The sequence below is a fragment of the Homo sapiens genome, chromosome 10, assembly GCF_000001405.40.
Source record: "Homo sapiens chromosome 10, GRCh38.p14 Primary Assembly".
NCBI lineage: Eukaryota > Metazoa > Chordata > Mammalia > Primates > Hominidae > Homo > Homo sapiens.
Genome location: NC_000010.11, coordinates 27594359 through 27620180, shown reverse-complemented (window position 1 = coordinate 27620180; position 25822 = coordinate 27594359). Strand labels below are relative to the sequence as shown.

The 25822-nt window shown below is 40.6% G+C and overlaps 1 annotated feature.

The window, feature by feature from the left end:
- Window positions 20372-20873: an enhancer, noted in NCBI's record as "H3K27ac hESC enhancer chr10:27888237-27888738 (GRCh37/hg19 assembly coordinates)". NCBI's record gives its function as "activates a minimal SCP1, AML or CMV promoter by ChIP-STARR-seq in primed H9 embryonic stem cells {active_cell/tissue: H9 hESC(primed)}" and the evidence as "EXISTENCE:reporter gene assay evidence [ECO:0000049][PMID:30033119]".

The window sequence follows — 25822 nt, the reverse complement described above, 5'->3', positions numbered from 1 at the left end:
CTAACTTTCAGTTAAGAAAACATGGCCAATTACTTATAAATGCTGGTTGGAAATGGAGAGAGGTAGGGAAGTATAGAGTTTTCATTTCCCATGATTGTTTTTGTCTTGAGTATAAGGTATTTTTGTCAGTTTTTTTTGGGGGGGGTGACATGATTTGGATTTGTGTCCCCACCCAAATCTCAGGTTGAATTGTAATCCCCAGTGTTGGAGGAGGGGCCAGGTGAGAGGTGATTGGATCATGGGGGCAGACTTCCTCCTTGCAGTTCTCGTGATAATGAGTGAGTTCTCACCAGATCTGTTTGTTTAAACTGTATAGCATACCCACCCACCCCGTCTCTCTCTCCTGCTCCAGCCATGTAGGACGTGTGGGCTTCCCCTTCCCCTTCAGCCATGATTGTAAGTTTCCTGAGGCCCCCCAACCTATGCTTCCTGTATAGCCCATGGAACTGTGAACCCATTAAACCTCTTCTCTTTATAAATTGCCCAGTCTCAGACAGTTCTTTATACCAATGTGACAATGGACTCATATGGGAGGTTCTTGAGCAAGAAAAGCCCAGGAGTCATGCATCTCCTCTCTTCTGGTCTCCAGGCTTCCTGAGTCCTGGTCGGCACGTCCAAGACATTGGGCTACACTAGGTATCTATCTGCTGCAACAGCCGAGAGCCAAGAATGCCAGGCATCCTGACTGATGCTTTTTGGTGGTCTGGCACCTGCCACCATTTCTGCGCTTGCTACTTCTTTCTTCTGTTTTCAAAATCCTGCTTTGTTGTAAGAGGAAAAAGGACTGGAAAGCAGATGCAACTGAGAATATTTTGGATGGGGGAGCTTTGAAGCTGCCTGTCTTCATTTGTTCCAGCCATAGGTCACACGGGTTTGACTTCTAGAGCCACACATCACACTCTGGTGCTGCGTTTTGTCTGACAATCCGTGGTTTCCCAGGCAGCTCCCCCATTGCTTTCCAAGGGCGACCAGCACTGGGTGATTCGTTTAACATTACTCTTGTAAAGTTGCTGCCTCTCCGAGAGCCGCGTCAGCATGCCTCCCTCTTCTTCAGAGGGAGCCAAGAGAAACTATTAAAAATGTGTTTGAAATTACGCATTCCCCACTCTCCTTGACAGAGGAACTTTGCAAAGCTCGTTAAGAGAGCTGGAGAAAATTCCACAGCACATTTCTGGGTTCATGGTTATTGTTATGCATGTGCTGCTGAGCTAATAGAATATGACTTTGGACATCCATGATCCAAGGGAAAATGGCTGCCTAAGTCTAGCGGCTTTAAAACCAGAACAGCAGAGATGGCTACCATTTTGGCCATTCACCCGCTCTTGCTCTACTTGCAGACTTAGTGTAAGAGATGAGAGCCAAGGGAACAAAGACAAAGAGGAAAGGAAGAAATTAAGCAGATTTTGGAACCACTCCTCCTTCTCCCGCCTCCCCTTTTCTCCCTGCCTGCCACCTTTTCTTTTTTGCCCTTTCAAATGCTGGATGGGCTGATTTAAGCTTATTTTACAGCTTTTCTCCAACTCCGTAAAACTGAGCTCAACCAGAGCTGGACTCTGAGACTTGTAAATCATCTCCTAGAGGAGCCTCGCTAAGTGGAAGCAGCCTGTTCAGTTCCATTTTCTCCTCTGGTTACCATCAATGACCCCTAGACATCTCAATTTCTTACATAATCCTCAAGCAAGCAACGCCACTGCTCCATTGCCTCTTTTGGAAAGAATGCTACTCCTGACCTTCTCCCTTGCTGGTGTGCTAGCATGACAATGTGAGAACCAGCCCGGCTCTGATCAGGAACCACCACATCGAACCTCCAGACTACAGAGCTCATGGTTTTATAGTTTCTCCAGGAGATTTGCATGTCTGGTGAATGTATTGCTGAACAGACACATTAGAAGTGAAGTTCTCTACCACCTCATTGAAACTGATCCTTTCCTATAAAAACAAAGGAGTCTCGTGACATTTCCGTTGAGCAAAATGTGAAACAATACCCTTTGACCTTAAGCCATGTAAATAACTTTAACAAGCAAAAGCTAAAACATACTGGGTACATCTAACAAGAAACATATATTGAGAAATCTAGTATGTGGGAGAACTTCAGTGGAATTTTTAAAATCCATTAGAAATGGAAACTGAACAGCTCAAACATACCTGATTTCTAGGGTGTTATAAATTTCTGAAACAAAGGGTGGAGGATTTATCCCTGGTCCTATGACTATAACTTCATTCTGATTTGAGATACCATTGCTAAACAAGCTGGCTGCCCCCTTGAAGGATGAACATCATAGTTTGCTTTTCATATTGAATTCAGATTCTCTCAGTTTGAAGAAACATAAAAAGAAAATTAATGTTTCTATTCTATTAGATCAAATATTATATCTCTTGATAAGATAAATGCTGAATTCTTAATAGGACGCTATGCAGCCGACACCAAAAAGATTCTTTATTCTGCAAAATTTTAAGCACAAGTTCAGATCAAAGAGTTAAAAGACAATTTCCAAAAAACAATTCCAAAACTGCATTAGTCTAAAAAGACCTTTTTCCAAAACTCTGTTGTAAGCTTTTTGTCTCCCTGAATATGTTTTTCTTTCCATTTCAATTTTTACTTCAAGCAAGGACCAATCTTTACTTGAGAGAATATCTCAGAAAACATTTTCATCCAGAATGTGTTTTCTTCTTAGCTTCTAAGCACACTTACACACAAGAAGTGGGATCTTTTTCTTTGTTATAATTGCTTCCTCTCGGATCTGATCCTTTGACCTGAAACATTGTGTTTTTCAAATCCACATCAACATTTTATTTAGGTAATCGTTCAAGATTCACAGGCTGTACACATCTCTGTCTTGGCAGAGTTAGCACTTAGCATGCATCCCCACGGTTCCAAAGAGGGATATAAGAGGGACGTTTGCTCTTTTTAAGAATCCCTGCCGGGCGCGGTGGCTCACGCCTGTAATTTCAACACTTTGGGAGGCCGAGGCGGGTGGATCACGAGGTTAGGAGATCGAGACCATCCTGCCTAACACAATGAAACTCCATCTCTACTAAAAGTAACAAAAAATTAGCCGGGCATGGTGGCGGGTGCCTGTAGTCCCAGCTACTCAGGAGGCTGAGACAGGAGAATGGCGTGAACCCAGGGGGCAGAGCTTGCAGTGAGCTGATATCACGCCATTGCACTCCAGCCTGGGCAACAGAGCAAGACTCTGTCTCAAAAAAAAAAAAAAAAAAAAAAAAAAAAAAAAAAAAAAAAGAAGCCCATGGGACACTCGATTACCTGAGAGCTTGGGACGCCTGGCCTATGGCACACAGAGGTTGCCTCATATGCAGCGCTCCAGTGCTCACACCTCTGCCCAGCTATAGGGTGGCAATTGGTAAATCAGAGCTGTGAGAAACAAATGAACAACTTATGCATCCAGTGTGGCAGCTGGACCTTGAGCTATTTTGGTCCAGAGAACTGGCATCTTCTAACTGGCCATATGGAAGTCTGTCTGTGATTCCGGACAAGAAATCCTTTCCTTGAAATGTACAGGTAATCCAGGCATGGAGAGAAGGAATAGTCACCTGGGTGCTTCATTCACTTTGATGTAAAGACAGCTGAAAAGAACCTCTTCCCCTGCAATCACCGAGACCTACGAGGGAGGTAACAATGGATTTTCCCAGGTGGGAGCATGGGAAACCTGAAGCAGCTCTTCAATCTCCAGGCTTCACTTAATGTTACTGCTTTCCACCAGCTCCACTTTGAGAAAGGTAAAAAGGTACCTAGGAACTTGCGAAGCTTCAAATGGCTCTTGCAGCCACCTTTCTCAGGGGCTGATTTAAATTAAGAGATTTCCTTGGTAGTGCACCCAGAATTTAAGGAAAAACAAAAATGTACCTGGCAGAGCCTGGCTGGGCTCTGATTATCGCCGTTTGACAAATAGAAAAGATTAATACATGTAGGAAAAGATAATGTTTAAAGTATCAGTGTTGGAAACAAACCAATTCAGGAGGGGAAAAAAGCAAATGTCGGTTAAAAAAAACTGTTTGGTGAGGAGAATTCCTTAAGGCTTTGCAGAAAAACAAAAAGGAGAGAAACAAAGAAATAAAAGGGGGAAAGTGGAAAGTCCGTGAATTTTTTTTTCTTTTTTTTTTTTTTTTTTTTTTTGAGACAGAATCTAACTCTGTCTCCCAGGCTGGAGTACAGTGGTGCAATCTTGACCCACTGCAGCCTCCAACTCATGGGTTCAAGCGATTCTCATGCCTCAGCCTCCTGAGCAGCTGGGGTTATGGGCGCGTGCCGCCACACCTGGCTAATTTTTGTGTATTTAGTACAAATGGAGTTTTACCATGTTGGCCAGGCTGGTCTCGAACTCCCGACCTCAGGTGATCTGCCCGCCTCAGCCTCCCAAAGTGCTGGGATTACAGGCGTGAGCCACTGCGCCCGGCAAGTCAGTGAATTTAAGTGTAAAAAGACATGAAACTGAAGTCTACTGTGCTGGTAGAGACTCAGCAGGTTTTCTAAGGTGTTACTAACTCCCGTTTGATTTCCTTCTCTCAGTATGTTATCTTCTTCAAGCTGAGCTAATAACCAAGTTAATACCAAATTACCATTTGGAAAAATTATTTCTCATATGCCTCAGATATCTGCAAACTTCACTTCCCCAGGGAGCAGCCTGGATACTTCCAACTAGACCAGAGTCTCCTGTTAAAAGCTCTCTTGCTCGCCCTGAGGTTTTCCTTTGCAGCAGTCACTGTGGAGCGTGAACATTAGAACTTCTGCTTCCTCCACTGGCTTGCAAGTCACAGCAAGGTGGATGTGTGACAGTTTCTGCTCACTGTTGCTTCTCAGTCACCAGCTCAGTGTCTGGCTCATGCATTCATTGGTTCATTTGTTCATTCAGCAAGTGTTCACCATGCTCCTGTGTAACAGGAGTTCTCCCAGGAATTACAGAGATTGTACAGGGCGAGGCAGAAATGGCTTTCTTTGCTCTCATGGTGTTTAAATTCTGGAGTTAGAAAAGGAGAAGAGGAGGGGCAATATATATAAGTACATACTAAATGAACAAAACTTCAGATACTGTTAAGTTCCATGAAGAAAGTAAAAGAGAGTGATCTGTTTCTGAATGCAGCCCTGGGGGATGGGGTGGGGATACGTGGGAGCCCCTCACCCCGTGGAGTTGTCGGAGAAGCATAATTGAGAGGAGGCATTCGCATAGAGACAGAGGTGACAGGAAGTGGCCAGCTATGCAGAGATGGAGGCCACAGAACATTCCACACGGTGCACATTCCTTAAGCTAAAAGTGAGCACATTTAGGTGAGAGAAAGAACAACTGTGGCTGTCATTTAGTAGGATATGGGAGAGAGACAGGAGATGGGATTGGAAGGAAGAGTGGAGCAGGTTGTGTCGGTTATGCAGGCCATGGCAAGGAATCTGGGTTTTGTTTCCAGCTCATGAGACATCATCAGAGCAGGACAGTGGCGTGATTTAATTGGCATTTGAAAGACTTATGGGGACAGGGACTTATGGGACCATGTAATGAAAACTAGAGACATTCTAGTTCATGGTTTGAAAAGTCACAGCAGCAAGCTTTCTGGTATAGTTAGTGGGGGTCTTCAAAAGGGCTCTTCATAGCAACTATTTCATTTGTGGGATTTTTGGAACAAGTTATGCAAAATTCTTGATTAGAGAAATCCTTCAGGAACCTGGAGACCAGGCTTAGGGGCCCTGGCCCAGGCATTTGAGGGTGTCCCCACTGCAACTTGAGCATCACTTAGGACAGCAAATGTCGGGGGTGAAGGAGGAGGAAGGTGACTTCTTTAGTTGGGGTTGTTTGACTTGCTGTCCTCTCACAAGGTTGAATTTACCAAAGAAATTGTGTCATTTTCTCCAGCAAGGAAATTTATTTTAACCCTGTTCAGCTAGCAGGTGGGGGTTGGGGGAAGAGCCACAGAAAGTGCTATAGACCATTGCTTCTCAAAGTTATCCACCAAAGTATTCTAACACCTGGAGGTGAGTGACAGTGACCTCTGGGAAGGTAGCCTGTTCACTGCAGGCTTAGACTCTAGGATAAATGTTATGTCTTTTTTGTTGTTTTGTTTTGTTTTTTTAGAGACAGGGTCTTGCTCTGGTGCCTAAGCTAGAGTGTGTGACACAATCATAGCTCACTGCAGCCTCGAACTTCTGGGGTCAAGGGATTCTCCCACCTCAGCCTCCTGAGTAGCTGGAACTACAGGCACACATCACTATGACCAGCTAACTTTTTCATTTTTTGTAGAGATGGGGTCTTGCTATGTTGCACAGGCTGGTCTTGAACTCCTGATCCAAGTAATTCTCCTGTCTTGGCCTCCCAAAGTGCTGGAATTACAGGCATGAGCCACCACACCTTGACCTTAAATGTTATGTCTATTTAACCTCCTATTCCGTAATATACATAGGTTTGGTTTAAAATTTAGAATTATGTTTAATTCTTAATTTTATAATTAAATTTATAATTATGTTTAATTCTAAATTTTATAATTAAATTTACATTTAAATTATTTATTTTCTCTTACAATTTTTCTGGCAAAAAGAATATTAAAAATATTCCACCTGCTCTCCAGCGAAAAAGGCCAGGTTCTAGGTCCATCACTACCACCACCATCCTGAGCCCCAAGAATCTTGTCCACACACCAAAAACACAGTAAATGGAGCCTGGCCTGAGAAAGGGAGGCAGAAATGGAGGAGTCAAGAATCCTGCCCATGTTCCAGTATATGCCTGGATTTCTAGATGATGCTCAAGTTCCTCATGTCACCACTCTCTGCAGGGTGAACTCCTATGCTACCTGCAGGACACTCAGGGCCTAGGCCAATGCCAAGTTCTACCACTACTGTTCCCATCAGACTGACTTCTCTTCTTGCTTAATTATGAAGACACTATCAAGTGAGGGGCCTATCTCATTGTAACCACATGTGGGAAAATAGGACTTAGGGACAGTACGTTAGTCTGTTCTCATGCTGCTAATAAAGACATACCCAAGACTGGGTAATTTATACAGAAAAAGAGATTTATTGGACTCACAGTTCCACATGGCTGGGGAGGCCTTACAATCACGGTGGAAGGCAAGGAGGAGCAAGTCACATCTTACATGGTTGGTGGCAGGCAAAGAGAGAGCTTATGCAGAGCAACTCCCGCTTGTAAAACCATCAGATCCTGTGAGACTTATTCACTATCATGACAACAGCACAGGAAAGACCTGCCACCGTGATTCGATTACCTCCTACTGGGTCCCTCCCATAACACGTGGGAATTCAAGATGAGATTTGGGTGGGGACACAGCCAAACCAAATCAGACGGGTAATGAAGAGGAGTGGCCAAGAAGCAGCAGCAGTGTGTTAGTGGAAGAATACACAAGGGTCTCATATGTTCCCATGTCTGTTTGGATGAGTTGTTCGTGAAAGTCACGTCAGTTTTTCTGTCTTGCAAAATCAATGCAATTTCACACTTGCTGAGCCAATACCATGATCCCAGCCAGATCAGCCATCAACTGTTATCTTTTTAAACTCCAAATAATGAAGTGCTCTTGTTTTCCTGAAATGTCTTGAAAAGGTTATTTCCAGGCTGACACTCTGCTTGCCAGCTTTTATTTAGAAACACATTTTTATATATTCACTTGAATTCTCTGGATGGGATCAAGAAAGAGTAAATAAAGCCGTGGCCAAGGTTACCATCCATCCATCAATCCCCAGGCCCTGATGAAGCCTGAGCCTTGCAAACACAGCCTTTGTAGGCAGTGGCTCTGGCCAGACCCTCTGTAAAAAGGGACCCTTGTTGCCCTTGAGGGTTTCAAGTTGAAAAGGAAAGCTTTTCAAAGCCATCAGAAAGTGAAAAACCAATCTAAGCGCATCCATGTAGCACAAGAGTGTCAGAATTCATAATTAAGGGTCATAAATCTTTTTGCAATGGACAAAAAATAAATAAGCTCATTCGAGTACAAACATAAAGGCAGCAGGCATACACACACTCCAAGTGTCAGCTTTAATTTATTTCTTCACTTGGAAAGGGGAGACTGAAAGCTGGCTGCCAGGCTGGAGGGAGCCTCCTCAACTCTTCTTCTGGCCTAGACAAAGGTTTTAATGTTGTAGGGAGAAATCCAAAGAATAACACAGGAAGCTTGTTGACTTCTTACATTGAAAAGAGTTATTTGGAAGAGAAGGAGAAACAGCAGAGAGAACAAACCCCTTCTATAGTAATCTCCTTTGTATAATCCAAAATGCTTGGCACGTTAAAACCAAATACCAGCAGACCAAAGGAAAAAGAAAAAAATGGAAAGAAAAGTCTGATTTACAGTATGCTATTTGACACATCTGGAGGGGATTTAGAAAAGACGTTCACAAACCATTTCAAGTGCATTGAGAACTCCACTAGGACAACAAAGATATGTATATAAATATGTACACAATTATTCACACAATTCAAAGTGTAGCAGTCACAGCACATAATCATTTCCCTTGTGTGTGGGAACAACATCATTATAGCATTAAAATCGGAGGGGATCAATAGCAATGGAATTTTCTGAGAGCTCCATATGGAAAAAGGTCAATGAATACAGTACCTGTGGAACCAATTACTTGTCATTAAATTCAGCAGCATTAAAATAAACTTTTCCCCTCTCTTCTCTTGTCACTTACTCTAAGGCATCCAAACAAAAATCCTCAAATTAGCAAAGTAAAACAGCCGCTCTAGGAAAATTCCGGTGCTCTGAGAAAATGTGTTCTGCAGCAATCTTTCAACATTAGAGCAATGTTATGACGTTTATGAGCTGAGTCAACATTGCACATGCAATGTTGGTCTTTGGGTCACACAAGCATCAGGCTACAGGCTAGTCACCAGGCTCTTGCAGTCACCTTTGAGTTTTTGTGTGTCCATTGCTATTGTTGATAAAATAACCTTTCAAATCATTTTTATATTTAAGATAAGATATTGAAAGCACTTTTAGGACAGGAATGGTGGCTCATGACTATAATTCCAACACTTTGGGAGGCTGAGACAGGAGGACTGTTTGAACCCAAGAGTTTGAAACCAGCCTGGGCAACACAGCAAGACCCCCCAAAATATTTTTTTTTTAATCAGCCAGACAGGGTGGCATGTGCCTATGGTCCCACCTACTTAGCTGGCTGAGGTGGGAGGACTGCTTGAGCCTGGGAGGTCGAAGCTGCAGCGAGCTATGATCATACCACTGCACTCCAGCCTGGGTGACAGAGTGAGACCCTTATCTCTTTTTATTTGTATATTTATTTTTTGAAACAGAGTCTTACTCTGCCGCCCAGGCTGGAGTGCAATGGCATGATCTTGGCTCACTGCAACCTCTGTGCCCAGGTTCAAGTGATCCTCTTGCCTCAACCTCCCAAGTAGCTGGGACTACAGGTGTCCACCACTACCCCTGGCTAATTTTTATATGTTTAGTGGAGATGGGTTCTCACCATGCTGGCCAGGCTTGAGACCCTTATCTCTTCAAACAAAAGAAGGAGAAGAAGAGGAGGAGGAGGAAGGAGGAGGAGGAGAAGGGGAAGAAGGAGAAGAAAGAAGGAGGAGGAAGAGGAAGAAGGAGGAGGAGGAGGAAAAAAAAGAAAAGAAAAGATAAAATAAGAAAAGAACAGAAAGCACCTTTAAAGCATGAAGTGCCTTAAATTATAAGGAATGTATTGCCAAATTACTCTAGGCAACCCATGCAGAGAGTAGAGGACACAGAGCAGTAATTAACCTGAAGTAAGATACAGCAGCTTTTCTAGTGTCTCTTGAAGGCCAGTATGGGATGGAAGGTGGTATGTGGAGAAAGGAATAGGGGACTGTGTTCTAGATTTGCATGCAGCCAGCTGAACTGGAAGGACTGGAGCTTAGAGGCATCTGCAGCCTTGCCTGATAGTTCCCTGCCATGTAGTTTTCCATGTGGGAAATTCAGAGGAAGGCTGACTTGTGAGAATTGCAACCGTTTCAGACCTATCTGTCTTCCACTGTTGAGAAGAGCTAGAGAAGTTGACTGGCTTTTGGAATTATTCTTCATGGAGGAAACTAGATGAACCATTTAGTAGACTTTCCCTCATTTCAGAAGACAAATTCCTCAACTTATCCAAGGCCTACCTAGAATGCCAGCGCCTTTAAAGAATCAGGCACTCATCACACGCCCTGACCATGCTGAGTTGTGGCCTCCATGAAAGAGTCTCCCAAGAACCAAGAGTCAGTTGAAAGAACTCTTTTGAACTCTGTGAACACATCTCTGCGAGGTGGAACAGGGCATCTATAATACATGCAACAACTATCTGCCCCAGCAGACCAGCAGATACATGATCCAGAATAAAGGTTTATTTTTTTATGTCACTGAGTTTTGGAGTGGCATGTTTTGCAGCATTCTGTGGCAATAGTTGACTGATACAAATCTCTGGAAAATAGAACAGGTTGTAAATTACAAGTAGAACCTGATGTTTGGTGTGTCACACAGGATTTTTTTTACAGCCTCAAAATTTGGAAATTACGTCTTTTCCATGTGACTTGATTGGCCCTCTTTGATATTCAAAGATTTGGCATAGGTTCAGTAGGTTTTAGCCAATCCGCCCTGTGGTTCCACCACATCTCCACATTCAGTCTGCCCCTCCATTCAGCACTTTAGCACCCAGAGGAAGGAGAAGAAAAAACTCTTAAACCCATCAGTTTAAGAGTTTAATTTCATCTAAAAATCCAGATACATTATAATATTTGTAAAATACTGTGGAACAAATGATCTGCTGTTACAACAACATATCATTATTAACCATCCAGGGGCACCTTAAAATTAGCTAATTCTTTTCTTTGTATTGATGTCCTCCCCCTTAAGCTGGTCCCCACTGTCATTTAATCCCACCAGGAAGATGAGATCATTCTGTCTGTTCAGCAGGTTCATTTTGTTAAATTGAGTTCCCTTACTCCTCTCACGTTCCTTGTTTATTACCACAAAATTTCAGTAGCATAGAACAATAAATCTTTATTTTTGCTCACTCACAAGTTCTATAGGTCAACTGGACAGTTGTGCTGATCTGGGCAGGCCTGGCTTATTTCAGCTAGGCTCACGTGGTCAGCTGGGGCCTGGCTGGGACAAACTGTCTCTGCTCCACGTGGTCCCTCATCCTCCAGCAGACTGACCTGGGCTTGATTGCATGGCTGCGGGGCAGGGTTCTAAACAAGAGTAGAAGTGCGCAAAGCCTATTCAAATTTAGACTCAGAACATTCTTTTAGAGCATTCATTCTGTTGGACCAAACAAGTCACAAAGTTGGCCCAGATTCAAGAAATGGGGAAACAGACTCTATCTCTTGGTGGGAGGAAGTTGCCTCCGAGTCACACTACAAAGGGTGAGGATCCTGGAAGAGGTAGAGAAGTGGGGCCATTTTTATAATCCAGCCACCAAACCTTTTCCCAAAATGGATGGCACAAATAAGCCTTGTGTTTCCTCATTAGAAGAAAACTATTTCTATACTTTACCCTAAATATTTGTCCTTTATATACTCAAAGGTAATACATTTTCAGCAATGGAAGCCTGTAACAGCAAGTCCCAAAAGGAAAATTGTTATATGTATTTTTCTAAAGGGGATTTGGCATATGCCTCCTAATGACCGCCCCCCCCCAAAAAAAAAAAAAAAATATATATATATATATATATATATATATATATATATATATATATATATATTCATTCTCATTAACCAGGGCAGGTTGTAGAAGAAAAAGAAAAGATATTAACCTTTCACCTGAATTTCAGGTTTAAAGAGTTGGGCGTTTTCCTATCTGGCCTTAAAGAAAAGCAGCTTTATCAGAGGAAAGAATGGACCTGCTACAATCAGCATTTACAACAGGAAGTAAGCTTGCCAACTTTCAGTGGTGTAAGCTGGTACATTCAGACTTCTTACAGCTTCCTGAAATCACAGACCTGGTGGGTTTTAATATCTATTATACACTCATCCTATTTGTGTGCCTATTTATCTCTTACATGTCTGCATCCAATTTGACAGCCTTTTGGATTTTATATGTTATAACCACCTAATCACTGACATAATAATTTTAGGAGATTTGAGAACCAGGATTGGAAACGATCCTGCCAAACCCCAAAGGAACCAAAGGGAGGGGAAATCTAGATTGGGGAAAGAGGTCCATCATGGGTTCCTCTACCTGAAACTGAGGCCTGGATAGCTTCCAATACCCATGGGAGGTCACTATGTTTTATTGGAAATGAAAAACCAATGCACTAGCCCTATAGTTAATAGATTATTGGTTATTTTGTATCCAGTCTCTTTGCCACGTGACTTTATAGTTCTTCCTTCTAGAGGTCGAATGTTCTTCTCCTCCCCTTGACTTTGGGCTTTGTCGTGTGACTTGCTTTGTTCGACAGCATGTTGGCAACATAATGCAAGCAGAGGCTTGCTCTCTGGAGCGTCTGTCATGAGAAGACCTGCCGTGGGTAGCTCAACAATTCCAAGAAAATGAGAAATGTCTGGAACACACTTGACCTGCTGAAATCATCACAGCTGTCCCAATTTGCCTGAAGTTTGAAGCTAACCTATCCCAGCTGACCAGCAGATATATGATCCTAAATACAAGTTTATTTTTGTATGCCACTGAGTTTGGGGATGGCATAGTAAGCAGAATTTTGTGGCAACAGTTGACTGATATAAATCCCTGGAAAATAGAACAGGTTGTAAATTACAAGTGGAATCTGACGTTTGGTGTGCAATACAGGATTTTTTTACAGCTGCAAAATTCAGAAATTGCATCTTATCCACGTGACTTGATCAGTCTTCTTTGACATTCAATTGGCATCCCAGATTCCCTCAATAACTAAGACACAAAATGTAAATTGGGTAGAAGAAGATTTTTTTAAAAATATTTATTATTGTTCTACTTCCATACCCCAAAGAAAGTGGATTAATGATCCCTCATACAAACATCACCCAGCTTCAACATTTATCAATATTTTACGTTTGTTGCTGTCTACCCCACCCACTGTTTTTTCAAAAACTAGGTAATTTTAATTCCAGCTCCATTAGAATATACCTTCCATGAATGCCTGGCACCGAAGTTAAAAAAAAAAAAAGGTTATTTCTCTAGCAAGGGACCTTAAACTTGAGTTCAGGAAGGTCTACGAATCTTCAGAAATTTATGCAAAAGTTAGTGTATGGAAATGTGTCTGTGGAAGAGGTCCACAGTTTCCATCAGATTCAGAAGATAAAATCCTCCTCTCTGCACAAACATCAGCCATTCTTGCCTGTTCTCGCCCAGCCTTGCCAGATGCCAGCATCTTGCACCTTCTGCAGGTGGAAGAAAGCCCATGAGTACAAAGAACCAACCCTCCTCAGTCAAACGAGAACCCACGACTCCGGACGACCAGAATCACCAATTTGCTTATGTAGACACTGAAATAAGACAAAGTGTCGACTTTAATTTTAGCCATATGGGAAGTCGCAGTCCTTCAAACAATCAGGAAGAACGGCTTTGCCTTTCAGTGAAAATGTCTTGGATGGCTTAGAAGCTCAAGGTCCAAATCTCAGCTGTCTAACAATTTTGGATGTGCCTGCCTGCCTGCCTGTCTCATTGGCACTGAGAAGACGTATCTGGGGTAGATTGAGTCTAGTGGTTCCTACGTTTAAGAGAATGTACACATCACCTGGAAGCCTTTAAAACCCAGATTTCTGGATCCCATTCCAGACCTACTGAATTGGAGCCTTTGCAAAGTCTGCATTTTTAACATCTTCTGATTGCAACGTGGTGCAACTCGTCCACAGACCACACTCTGAGAAGCACTGGCTGATGGGCAGCCAGTCCTATAGCAACTGTCAGGAGCTTAAAGTAAGTCTTTCTTGAATTCATATTTCCTTTCAGTCTATGGGTTGGGGGGGTGGAACTTTTTTAAAAAGAAAAAAACAAAATGAAAAAAAAAATCTCCTCTAAAGTCTTAACCAGCCTAGAAATCTGCTATTTCTAAGATTTCTGATTTCCTTTGGGCTCTGTGCACCTCCACCCATTTATAGGACTGCTGTTCCATTGGGCTGGTTTTAACAGTTCAGGCTCAGCGGGGAATTCTCACCAACCCAAACCAGGGAGAGCGAAGCCAGAGCCAGGGTCACCCGAAGTTATTCGGGCTACCCAGGTGGCAGTGGCAGGCATGGGACATACAGTCAAACATTCTTTGAATTTCTCATCCAGTTCTTCCCAAGATAAATGTCACATAAGCAATGAGGGCTTCAGAAGGTATCTTCAAATTCAAAAATGAACAAGCACTTAATGAGTAGCACAGAGGCAAGGGACAGTAAATACAGCTGCCCCCGCCCCTACACCTCCCCTTCCCTGCCCTGCACACTCAACATCAAGGCCACTGGTGCAATGTGGGTTTCATTACTGGCTCAAAGACAATATTTCACTGAGTTATAATTTCAAGATGTTATTGAAAAACCCATACTGTGTTTGTTTTTATCTCTACCTACCCCAGTCCAAGTGTTTTCTTAAATCATTAAAAAAAAAAAAAAAAAAACTCTTTAACGTGGCTCCACCCAAGTGGTCATATTTCTAAGGGTCAGGAGCGATGCACACAGGGGCTGGTGAAACCCAAAACGGTTTGGGGAAGGATGATGCTATTTCCTCTGCCTCTCAGGGGAAGAGGAGAAAAAGCTGTGAATCCGTTAAGTACATAAGCAGGATAGTGTGGGTGGCCCCAGAGAGGGACACCTGTTTTGCTACTAAATGCAAGATCACAAACACAGTTTTTTCCATTATAACTATCCTATCTGAAGCTCAGCCAGCAGAAATTCAGAGCAAGCTCTCACAAGGTCTTAAGGGCATAATCTTGGAAAAAAGCCACTGCACTAAAAGATAAAGTCTACAGACATTCTTTTTCATAGATGCGGACTATTCCGTGGTGTGGCTGTACTACATATTGGCGGACATTCGGGTTGTTTCCATTTTTTCCTATTACAAACAGTGCAGTAACATAAATAAATTTAAACACATATGTATATATGTATACATGTATATCTGGAGGATAGATTCCTACAATTATTGTTGATAGGTTAAGAGTACGAATATGTATATTTTTAATTTTAATAAATATTGTCATATTATTTTAAAAATGTATTCATAAAGCTTATTTCCACCAGCAGCAGATGCAAGTGCCTGTTTTCCTATGCTTGTTTCTTTTTTTTTTTTTTTTGAGGCAGAGTCTCACTCTGTCTTCCAGGCTGGAGTGCAGTGGTGCAATCTTGGCTCACTGCAACCTCCAACTGCTGGGTTCCAGCAATTCTCTGCCTCAGCCTCTGGAGTAGCTGGGATTACAGGTGCATGCCACCAGGCCAGGTTAATTTTTGTATCTTTAGTAGAGGCGGAGTTTCACCATTTTGGCCAGGCTGGTCTTGAACTCCTGACCTCGTGAGTCACCTGCCTCAGCCTCCCAAAGTGCTGGGATTACAGGCCTCCCACGCTTCTAAAAGCACTGGTTGCTGCTGCTTCTTTCCTTTCCTTCTTTCTTTTTTTGTTGTTGTTTTACTATTCAGGTGTGCATAAAGTGATCTTATTGTGATTTTTATTTGCATTTCTGTGTTTAGGTTGAGCATACTTGTATAATTATTCGTCATTTCATATGCATTTTCTCCTCTGTGAATTCCTATTCACATCCTTTGTCATAGCAGGTTGTCTTCTTATGAATTTGTAGAAGCTGAATAACATTAGCACTTGTTCTTTCACACATGTTAAAAAGTATTTTTTCCCAGACTTGTCTTTTGACATTTTCCATTATTTCATCCTTTGACTTACAGAGGTTTTTAACTTTTAGATAATCAACTCTTTGTGGATTCTGGGTTTCCTGAAGGCTTATACCACCTCAGGTCACAAAATATATCTCAAATTTTCTTTTAAAATATTTACAGTTAAAAATATCAAGAACTTTAACCCACTTATCTTAAATTCACTTTCACGTATGTTGTGTGAAGTTTGGGACAATGTCATATATAAAACAGATACCCCATCCTCTGGTGAATTGAAATGCCATTGTGATAGTATGTCTCCATGGATCTGTTTCTAAACTCTCTATTTTTTAATTCCTGTGCCTGTGCCACACTGTTTTATTTACAATACTTTTACAATAAGTTTTAATATTCTTTTTCTTTTCTAAAAATCTTGAGCAATTATAGCATATCTATTTTTATATAAGAACTTTAAAATAATTTGTCTATTAAAAAATTACCCATTGAAATTTTTATTGACATTGCATCTTATGTGGTCTTCTTGTTTCAGAAACATAGTAGGTTTCTGCTTTTTCACATCTTGTTTAAATGCCTTTTAAAAATATCTTATAAGTGCCTTCATTTGGGTTCTTACCCCACAATTAGGGTAATGTTGATAATATAAACAAATTGTGCCAGACAGTCAATCCTTATTACTCAAAGATTCTGTATTTGCAAATTCACCTGCTTGCTAAAATGTATCTGTAACCCCAAATCAATACGCACTGCATTTTGCAGTCAATCAAGGACACGTGTAGAGTGGCAAAACATGTGAATCACCTGTTGGGCACATTCTCGGATAAGGCTGAACGAAGTGATGCTCTAACTTCTTGTTTCAGCTTTCATAATGTAAGCAAGTGTCCTTTTTGTGGTAGATTTAGTGCCATGTTTTTTGTACCTTTGTGCTTTTTGTTACTGATTTTGCTGTTAGATCAGCTTTGATCAGGCATAAGTTATAGGTATGAGTTAGCATGAATTCAATGTTAATGAATCAAAAATACGTATTAAATAAGGCATCTCCAAACAGAAACCCACATGAAATAAGGTTAGGTATTTATCAGTTGACAAAAATATCCTTACAAGAAGCTTGCAGGGACCCCCTGGGAGCAATTGTTCAATAATTGCTAATTCAGCATTTGTAATGACTTATTTAAAAAAAGCTACTGCAAATAATGATAACCAGCTATATCTCCTTATCTGTTATCTTTATATCAGATTTTGATATTAAGAGTATGCTAGCTTCATAAAACTAATTAGTAAGCTTTGTGTCCTTTACTATGGTCTGGAATAGTTTAAATACATCAGTTTCTTTCTTTGGGCCAATCTATACTCATGGCTGAAAATTTCATTCCCTATTCTATTTCCTACCCAATTATATTGAGCCATATTATCAGAGCTTCTTCAACAATAGTAAGATACTCCAGTAACATGATTATATCAAATATTTTATTATTTAAATTCAATAGAAAAAATTCCAATAGAAAAAATTCAATAGAAAAAATAGAAAAAGTTCAAATTTGAACAAAGGCCAGGTGCAGTGGCTCATGCTTGTAATCCCAGCACTTTGGGAGGCCATGGCAGGTGGATAACCTGAGGTCAGGAGTTCAAGACCTGCCTGGCCAACATGGTGAAACCCCATCTCTACTAAAAATACAAAAATTAGCAGGGCATGGTGGCGCACACCTGTAATCCCAGCTACTCAGGAGACTGAGGCATTCAGTCACTTGAACCCAGGAGTTGGTTGCTGCAGTGAGCCGAGATCGTGCCACTGCACTCCAGCCTGGGTGACAAAGTGAGAGTCCATTTCAAAAAAAAAATTGAACATAAAACCCTTCCTATTATACATTTCCTCCTGAGAAATTAAAATTTGAAGATTAAATCCCAGGGATTAGAATCCAAAATTCTTAAGTTAAGTCCAAAAGTTTTTGTCCTTGTGAGTTAAAATCCAAAGAAATTAAAGTTTGATATTTATCCCCATCCTAAATATCTGACTCTGTTCAGTATCACTAGAGGGTCCTCAGTGCTTGGGTAATGTGAGGGTTGCTCAGCAGCTGTGGACGAGGCTGTCCTCTGGAAGGCTGTAGTTCATTCTGGGTCATAGGAATTGAATTAGTTTCTCATATGCCCTGCCTTTAAAAAGTCCGATATGTTCCTAGAAAAGCAAGAATATGAAAACATTGGCTCTCCCCACTCTGCCTTTAGTAAGTAAGCCAATTTGCAGACCGTAAGTGCAATTATCCCAGATAAAATTATGTTCCCAGAACCCAGTGTTTACTGTTGCCAAAGTCCAAAGCAAAAACTCACTGGTGTCTGAAGGAAGGACAGAATGGAAGGACAGTTCACCAGGACACTGATTAGTCTATGTCAGCTGTCCTGAATCCACTTCCTGGGAATTTAAACTCCCTTGGAAGAAATCATCCATCAGGAAGTTAACTTTGGCCCATACGTGAACGTACCTAGGGGAGAAAGCTACGTATACATACTGTACTTCCTATCAGAAAGTAGCATTTTGAAAATGCTATGTTCTTACTAATATTTCTGCAATGGTGCAGCCTCAGGCACTGAGTCTTATTTGAGGAATCTTCATTTCCCATCCAGAATAGGCAATCATCTTAATTTCTCATTTTCCTTTCGGGCCTTGTGTTTCTGGCAACCAATGTTTCACTGAATGTGACTCCATCCAGAGTCCACTTAACATTCTCGTGTGAACAAACATTCCGGTGCTGTGCTACAGTGGCCTTCCTATGGAAGCCTGTGAGACTTGCCAAGGATGGTTTCTCTTTCAATCCCCATGTTTATTTCAGCTGGAAGATCAAAGCTGCTCTTGATGAATATGAAGTTTTGGCTGCTAGAGCCGTTGCAAAGGCCAATTCTTCTACCACGGGCTGCTCCTCAATCCAACATGCTATGCAGTTTGGGTCCTGGGTATCTAAAGGTACGTTACATTGATTGTGTATGTAAAATGATCAGCCTAGTATACAGCAGCCAGATAAGACTCAGCCCACTCAGTTAAATCTAAGTTTCAGATAAACAACCATTACTTTTTAGCATATTCCAAATATTGCATGAGATAGACTTGCCCTAAAAACTTGTTGTTTTGTTTATCTGAAATTCAAATTTAATTGGACATCTTGTATTTTTATTTGCTCAGTATGGCAACCCTAATCTAGAGCTAACGGGAAACTACATGGTGGGAATGACTCTTCAGCCTGAGAGCAAGCACTTAAGTTCAAAGCTGAGCCCTCTAAGCTTGCCTCCTTGGCCCTGGAAAGAAATGACATTTGGAGCAGCTGCTCTGGTCCTGCCTATCAGGGCCTGGCAGCCACATTAACCTAGACACTCCCTAGTGCTCTGTAGAGTAGGCAGAGCTCAGATTCCTTGCAGCTTAAGAACAGTCAATATTGTTACACCTACCAATGCCTGAGAAGGTCTAATCCCACCATTAAGTCTTTCCTGCTGGCTCCTGTTCTAGTGAGAATCAAAGTCATGCTCCAACAGCCTTTATCGTTGCCCTTCTCACTGCAGCCTGTACACTTGCTGTACCGCTCGGGCACATCTGACCCACACACCCCATTTTACTAGGTAATCTCAGCCCTGAAAGACATTGTGCAGCTGCTTGTCTGGGTAAAATTGTTCCATTTATGGATAAAACCAGTTTAAGCACAGTAACCTGCCACAGGGTAATGTTGGCTCTTGAAAACTGGAGCTTTAAACATCCCACCCTGTCTGCATTAACATTGACCTAATGGGACTTCCAGAGACGGCACTGAAAGGTGGGAGGGGAAAAAGTATCAATTCACAATAAAGGAAATAAAAGTGAAATAAGTTCAATACACACATGTAAAAGTGCTCAATTTCACTTATGTATTTTTTTCAAACTAAAAGAAGGAGATGCAGTTTGGGGCCTATATATTTGGTAAAAATTAAAAAGATTTCTAGCATCTGGTATTATCAAGGGTGTAAAAAAAATGAGTATTTTCATATAGTCTTGGTGAGTGTAAATTGGCCTGGCCTTGTTGAACAGTAAAAATTGCACAAAAGCGTTATGCTTATGATAAAGGAAAATGGAAACAACCTAGATGTCAATTAATAGAGATAAATAGGCAGGGCATGGTGGCTCACACCTGTAATCCCAGCCAAGGCCGGGAGGATCACCTGAGGTCAAGTGTTCAAAACCAACCTGGCCAATGTGATGAAACTCCATCTCTACTAAAAATACAAAAATTAGCTGGGCATGGTGGTGGGTGTCTGTAATCCCAGCTACTTGGGAGGCTGAGGCACGAGAATCGCTTGAACCTGGAAGGCGGAGATTTCAGTGAGCCGAGATCATGCCACTGCACTCCAACCTGGGTGACAGAGCAAGACTCTGTCTCAAAAAAAAAAAAAAAGACAAATAGAGGAGTGATGGCAGCAAGCAAGATGGCAGGATAGGTGGGCCCGCCATTGGGAGCCCCCGACAGTAACAATATTTTGGCTGCTATCCATGGACAAAAGTGCCCTTGTGGGGGTTTTTCGATCCAGGTAGGAGGTTACAAAAGCTCAGTGAAGCCTGAGACTGAGGAGAGCCATTTTGAGAAGGCAGGCCAGCACCCAGGTGGCAGGATCACTGTGGTCCTAGCATCTCTGTCCTCCTGTAGACTCAGGTACACCTCCAATTGGTCCTGCCACTGGCACCATCTGCCAAAGGACCCAGGACGGGCCATGCCTGCTCATGCCTGGAGTAATAGGCCCACTGACCTCAGTCCTGATCATAAGCCTTGAAGAGGCCCAAGACCAGGCTCCAGACCCTTTCAGCCACAGTTTGGAAGTTTCCCAGTGCCTGCCTATTGGGAAACACACCTGTCCATACCCTAGGAGGTGGGCCCACACACCTTGGTCCAACTACAGATCCTGGAATAGTCTTATAACTTGGCTTCAGCCCCTCTCAGCTATAGTCCAGGAACAGAATTCAGCCCCTCTCAGCCATAGTCCAGGAATAGTCCTACCCACCAAAAGACCCAGTGGGAGATCCACACATCTGTGCCCCTAGAGGCAGGCCTGAAGAGCTCAGTCTTAGCTGTGACCCTGAAGCAGCCCTGTGACTTAGTCCCTCCAAGCTGTGGTCCAAGGTCAGTTCTGCCCACCCAGAGACCTACACAATGATCCAGGAGGAGCCACACTCACCTATGCATTTAGTAACAAGCCTACTATCAACCAACTACAGATCCTGAAGCAGACCCTTGTCCCAGTGCCAGCCCTACTGACCAAGGTCTTGGAAGTAGATCCATTCACCCAGATACCAGGCAGGATCCACATCTGCTTGAGCCACTGGTAACAAACCTGCCAACTGCAGAGCCCAGTAGTAGCTACATGACCTGGCTACAACCCCACTTGACTTCTTTTGTCAGATCCCAGGGGTGATGGCATCACTTGACTGTGCTCCTAGAGGAAATGCCATCAGCCCTGGGAGCTGACAAAAGAAGATCTTTACCTGCCAAAACCAGTCTATAAAGACTGAAAAATGTACTTGCTTCTTAAATGCACAGACACTAATGCGGAGCTACACAGATCATGAAGAATCAGGCTACCAAACCTGTTACTACCATAACACCACCAAAGGAAATTAATAAAGCTCCAATATCTCACGCCAAAGAAAGGAGATCTACAAATCATCTGACAAAGAATTCAAAATAATCATCTTAGAGAAGCCCAATAATGCAAGAGAACACAGACAGACAACTAAACAAAATCAGGAAAACAAGGTATAAACAAAATGAGAAGTTCACCAGAGAAATAGAAACCATTAAAAAATGAACCAAATAGATATCTTGGAGCTGAAGAATTCAATGACAGGACTGAAAATTTCAATAGCTTCAACAGGAAGCTGGATCATGCAGAAGAGAGAATCTAAGAACTCAAACACACATCAGTTGAAATTAGAAAGTTGAAGGAACAAAAGAAAAGAAAAGATAAGAAAAAGAAAAATAGTGAGAAAAGCATATGGGACCTATGAGACACTATCAAATTGGTGAATATGTGCATAATTAGAGTCCAAGAAGAGAGAGACAGAAATGGGCAGAAAGTTTATTTAAAGAAATAATGTCTGAAAATTTCCCAAATCTTGAGAGGGATATAGACATCCAGATTCCTGAAGTGCAAAAGTCCCAAAGCAAGATCAACTTGAATAAGATTATATTCAACACATTGTAAACAAATTGTCAAAAGTCAAAGATGAAGAAAAAATGTTTAAAGCAGCAAGAGAAAGTGATTTGTCACATAGAAGGGAACGTCTATAAGGCTATAAGAAGGTTTCTTAGTAGAAACCTTGTAAGCCTGGGTGATATATTCAAAGTGCTGAAAGCACTTTGCGTTTATTATTATTCCAACCAAAAATAATATACCTGGCAAAGCTATTCTTCAGAAATGGAGAGATAAAGTCATTCCCAGACAAACAGAAGCTGAGAGAGTTCATTGTCCAAGAACTGCCTTACAAGTGCTAAAAAGGGCCCTTTAAGTTGAAAGAAAAGGACACTAAGTAACAATGTGAAAACGTATGAAAATGTAAAACTAACTGACAAAAGTAAATATATAGTCAAATTCAGAATACTCTAAAACTGTAATGGTGGCACATAAATCAGATTTAATTCTTGCATAAAAGTTAAAAGACAAAAGTACTAAAAATAGCTACAATGATTTGTTAATGGATACACAATACTTAAAAATAAGAAGTTTGACATCGATAGCCTATAATGTAGGAAGAGAGAGATATAAAAATGTAAAGCTTTTGTATGGGATTGAAGTTGTTTCATGCTTAAAATAGAATTTTATAACTATAAGATTTTATGTATGCCTTATAGTAACCACAAAGAAAAAAAAACTCTAGTAGATAAAAGAAAAAGAGAAAGGAAAGTATACCACTACAAAAAAATCAATAAATCACAAAGAAAGATAGTAAAAAAGTAAGAAAGAAACAAGAGAACTACAAAACAGTAAAAAAAAAACTAGAAAAATAGTAAGTGTCTTTAGTTATTAATAATTAATTTAAATGTAAATGTATGAAATTCTCCAATCAAACAAAGAATGGCTAAATAAATTGTTTTCAATCCAACAATATGCCGTCTGCAAGATATTCACTTTAGCTTTAAAGACATACATAGCCTGAAAGTGAAGGTATGAAAAAGAATATTCCATGCACATGCTAACCAAAAGAAAGTAAAGTGACTATACTTACATCAGACAAAATAGAATTTCAGTCAAAATTTGTCACAGAAGTCCAAGAAGGCAACTATGTAATCACAAAGGGATCAATTCATCAAGAGGCTATAACAATTATAAATATATACAGACCCAACATTAGAGCACCTAAATATAAAAGCCAATATTTATAGAACTGAAGGGAGAAATAGACAGCAATACAAGGGGACTTTGACACATTACTTTCAAAGGGGAATTTGATATATCACTTTCAACAATGAATAGATCATCCAGACAGGAAATCAATAAGTGGGCTTGAATAACACTGTAGACCAAATGGACCAAACAGAAAAGTCTATCCAATAGCACCATAATACACACTCTCCTTGAGAACATTCTCAGGGCAGATCATATGTTAGGCTACAAAACCAGTCCTAATAAATTTAAGAAGATTGAAATCATATGAAATAACTTTTCCAACCACAGTGGTATGAAACGGAAGGAAAATTGGAAAATTAACAAGTATGTGGAAATTAAACAACATACTGCTGAACAAAGAATGGGTCAAAGAAGAAATTCACAGGGATATCAAAAAAGTATCTTGAGACCAATGAAAATGGAAGCACAACATACCAAAACTTAGGGGATGCAGCAAAAACAGCTCTAAGAGGGAATTTTATTGTGATAAATGTCTGTATTAAGAAAAATGAAAGATCTCAAATAAAACTAACCAAAGAAAAAAGAGAGATGAAACTTAAAATTAGAAATGAAAGGGGAGTCATGAAATACAGAAATATGATCATAAGAGATTACGATGAACAATCATATACCAACGAACTGAATAATGTAAATGAAATACATGAATTCCTAGAAACATACAACCTACCAAGACTGAATGACAAAGAAAAAGAAAATTTAAACTGACTGATAATGAGTGAGGAGATTGAAGCAATAATCCAAAGCCTCCCAAAAAGTAAAGCCCCGAACCTGATAGCTTCACAGCTGAATTCCACCAAACATTTAAAGAAAAATCAATGTCAGTGCTTCTCAAATGTTTCCAAAAAATTGAAAAGGAGAGAATATTTCCAAATTTATTTTACAAAGCCAGCATTACCCTCATACCAAATCTAGATACAGACACAACAAGAAAGCAAAATCACAGGCCAATATCCCCAATGAAGATAGATGCAAAAATCCTCTACAAAATACAGGTTGAGTATTCCTAATCCAAAATCTGAAATGCTCCAAAATCTAAAATGCTCCAAAATCTGAAACGTTTTGAGCACTGATGTCATGCTCAAAGGAAATGCTCATTGGAGAATTTCAAAGTTGGGATATTTGGGTTACAGATGCTCAACTGGTAAATATAATGTAAATATTCCAAAATCCTAAATCCAAAACACTTCTGGTCACAAGCATTTTGAATAAGGGATAATCACCTTATACTAGCAAACCAAATTCAACAGTACATTAATAGAATCATTCACCATAATCAAGTAGAATTTATCCCTGGTATGCAAGGATGGCTCAACATAGAGAAATCAATAAACATGATACATCAAATTAACATACATCAGACTTACATCAGACAAAATAGACCTTATGATCATCAATATAGATGCAGATAAAGTATTTGACAAAATTCAACTTTTCATAATAAAAATTCTCAATAAATTAGCTATAAGAAGGAATGTACCTGAACATAATGTAAGATATAGGACAAGCCTATAGCTAACTCCGTACGGTTCAACAGTGAAACTTTGAAAGCTTTTTTTCTACAATCAGGAGAAAGACTTCTAGATAGAAATCACTTCTATCAACATAGTGTTGGAAGTCCTAGCCAGAGGAATTAGGCAAGAAAAAGAAATAAAAGGCATCCAAATTGGAAAGGAAGAAATTAAATTGTCTCTATTTGCAAATAACATAATCTTATATGTTAAAAGCTCTTTAAATCTTTAAGTGATTAAGATGCTTAAAGTCTTTAAGATTCCACCAAAGAACTGTTAGAACCAATAAACAAATTCTATAAAGTTGCAGGGTACAAAATCAACATTAAAAAAATCAGTTGTTTTCCTATATGCTAATAATGAGCTATCCTAAAAAAGAAATTAAGAATCCCACATATAAAAGCATCAAAAAATAAAATACTTAGGAATAAATTTAACCAATTTATTGTGTTAGAAAGATCTGTAACTGAACACTGTAAAACATTAATGAGGGAAATTGAAGAAGACACAAATAAATGGAAAGATGTCCTATTTTATGGATTGAAATAGTTAATATTGCTGAAATACCCATACAGCCTAAAGAAATCAATGAAATCCCTATGAAAATTCCACTGTCATTTTTCATAGAAATAGAAAAACAGTCCTAAAATGCTTATGGGACAACAAAAGGCCCAAACTCAACTTCCATGCTCCTCTATAGGGAGAGGTTGCTCCCCAACCCCAAGTCAGGTGAGGGTAGCTCTATGATGAAACACTGAAAGAGATCGGGGTGTCTGCTTCCCAGCTAAAAATTCTGAAGGCAGGAGGTGCCCTGGAGCTGTATCCGTGGCATGTTGGGAACAGAGGCTGCAAGGTAGCAGTAGTCTAGTAGACTGCATTTATAGTTTGGGAAAGAAAGTATGAGTTCCATGAGCCAATGGATGCTACAGCAGGCAACTGAGCATTACACTACTTTTGTTTGTTTGTTTGTTTTTGTTTTTGTTTTTAGACACGGTCTTGCTCTGTCTCCCAGTCTGGAGTTGAGTGACACAGTCAAGGCTCACTGCCACCTCAACTTCCCAGAACCAAGCAATCCTCCTACCTCAGCCTCTCAAGTAGCTTGAGACTACAAGTGCACACCACTGTGCCCAGCTAATTTTTTGTTTGTTTGTTTGTTTGTAAGTGACAAGGTCTCACTGT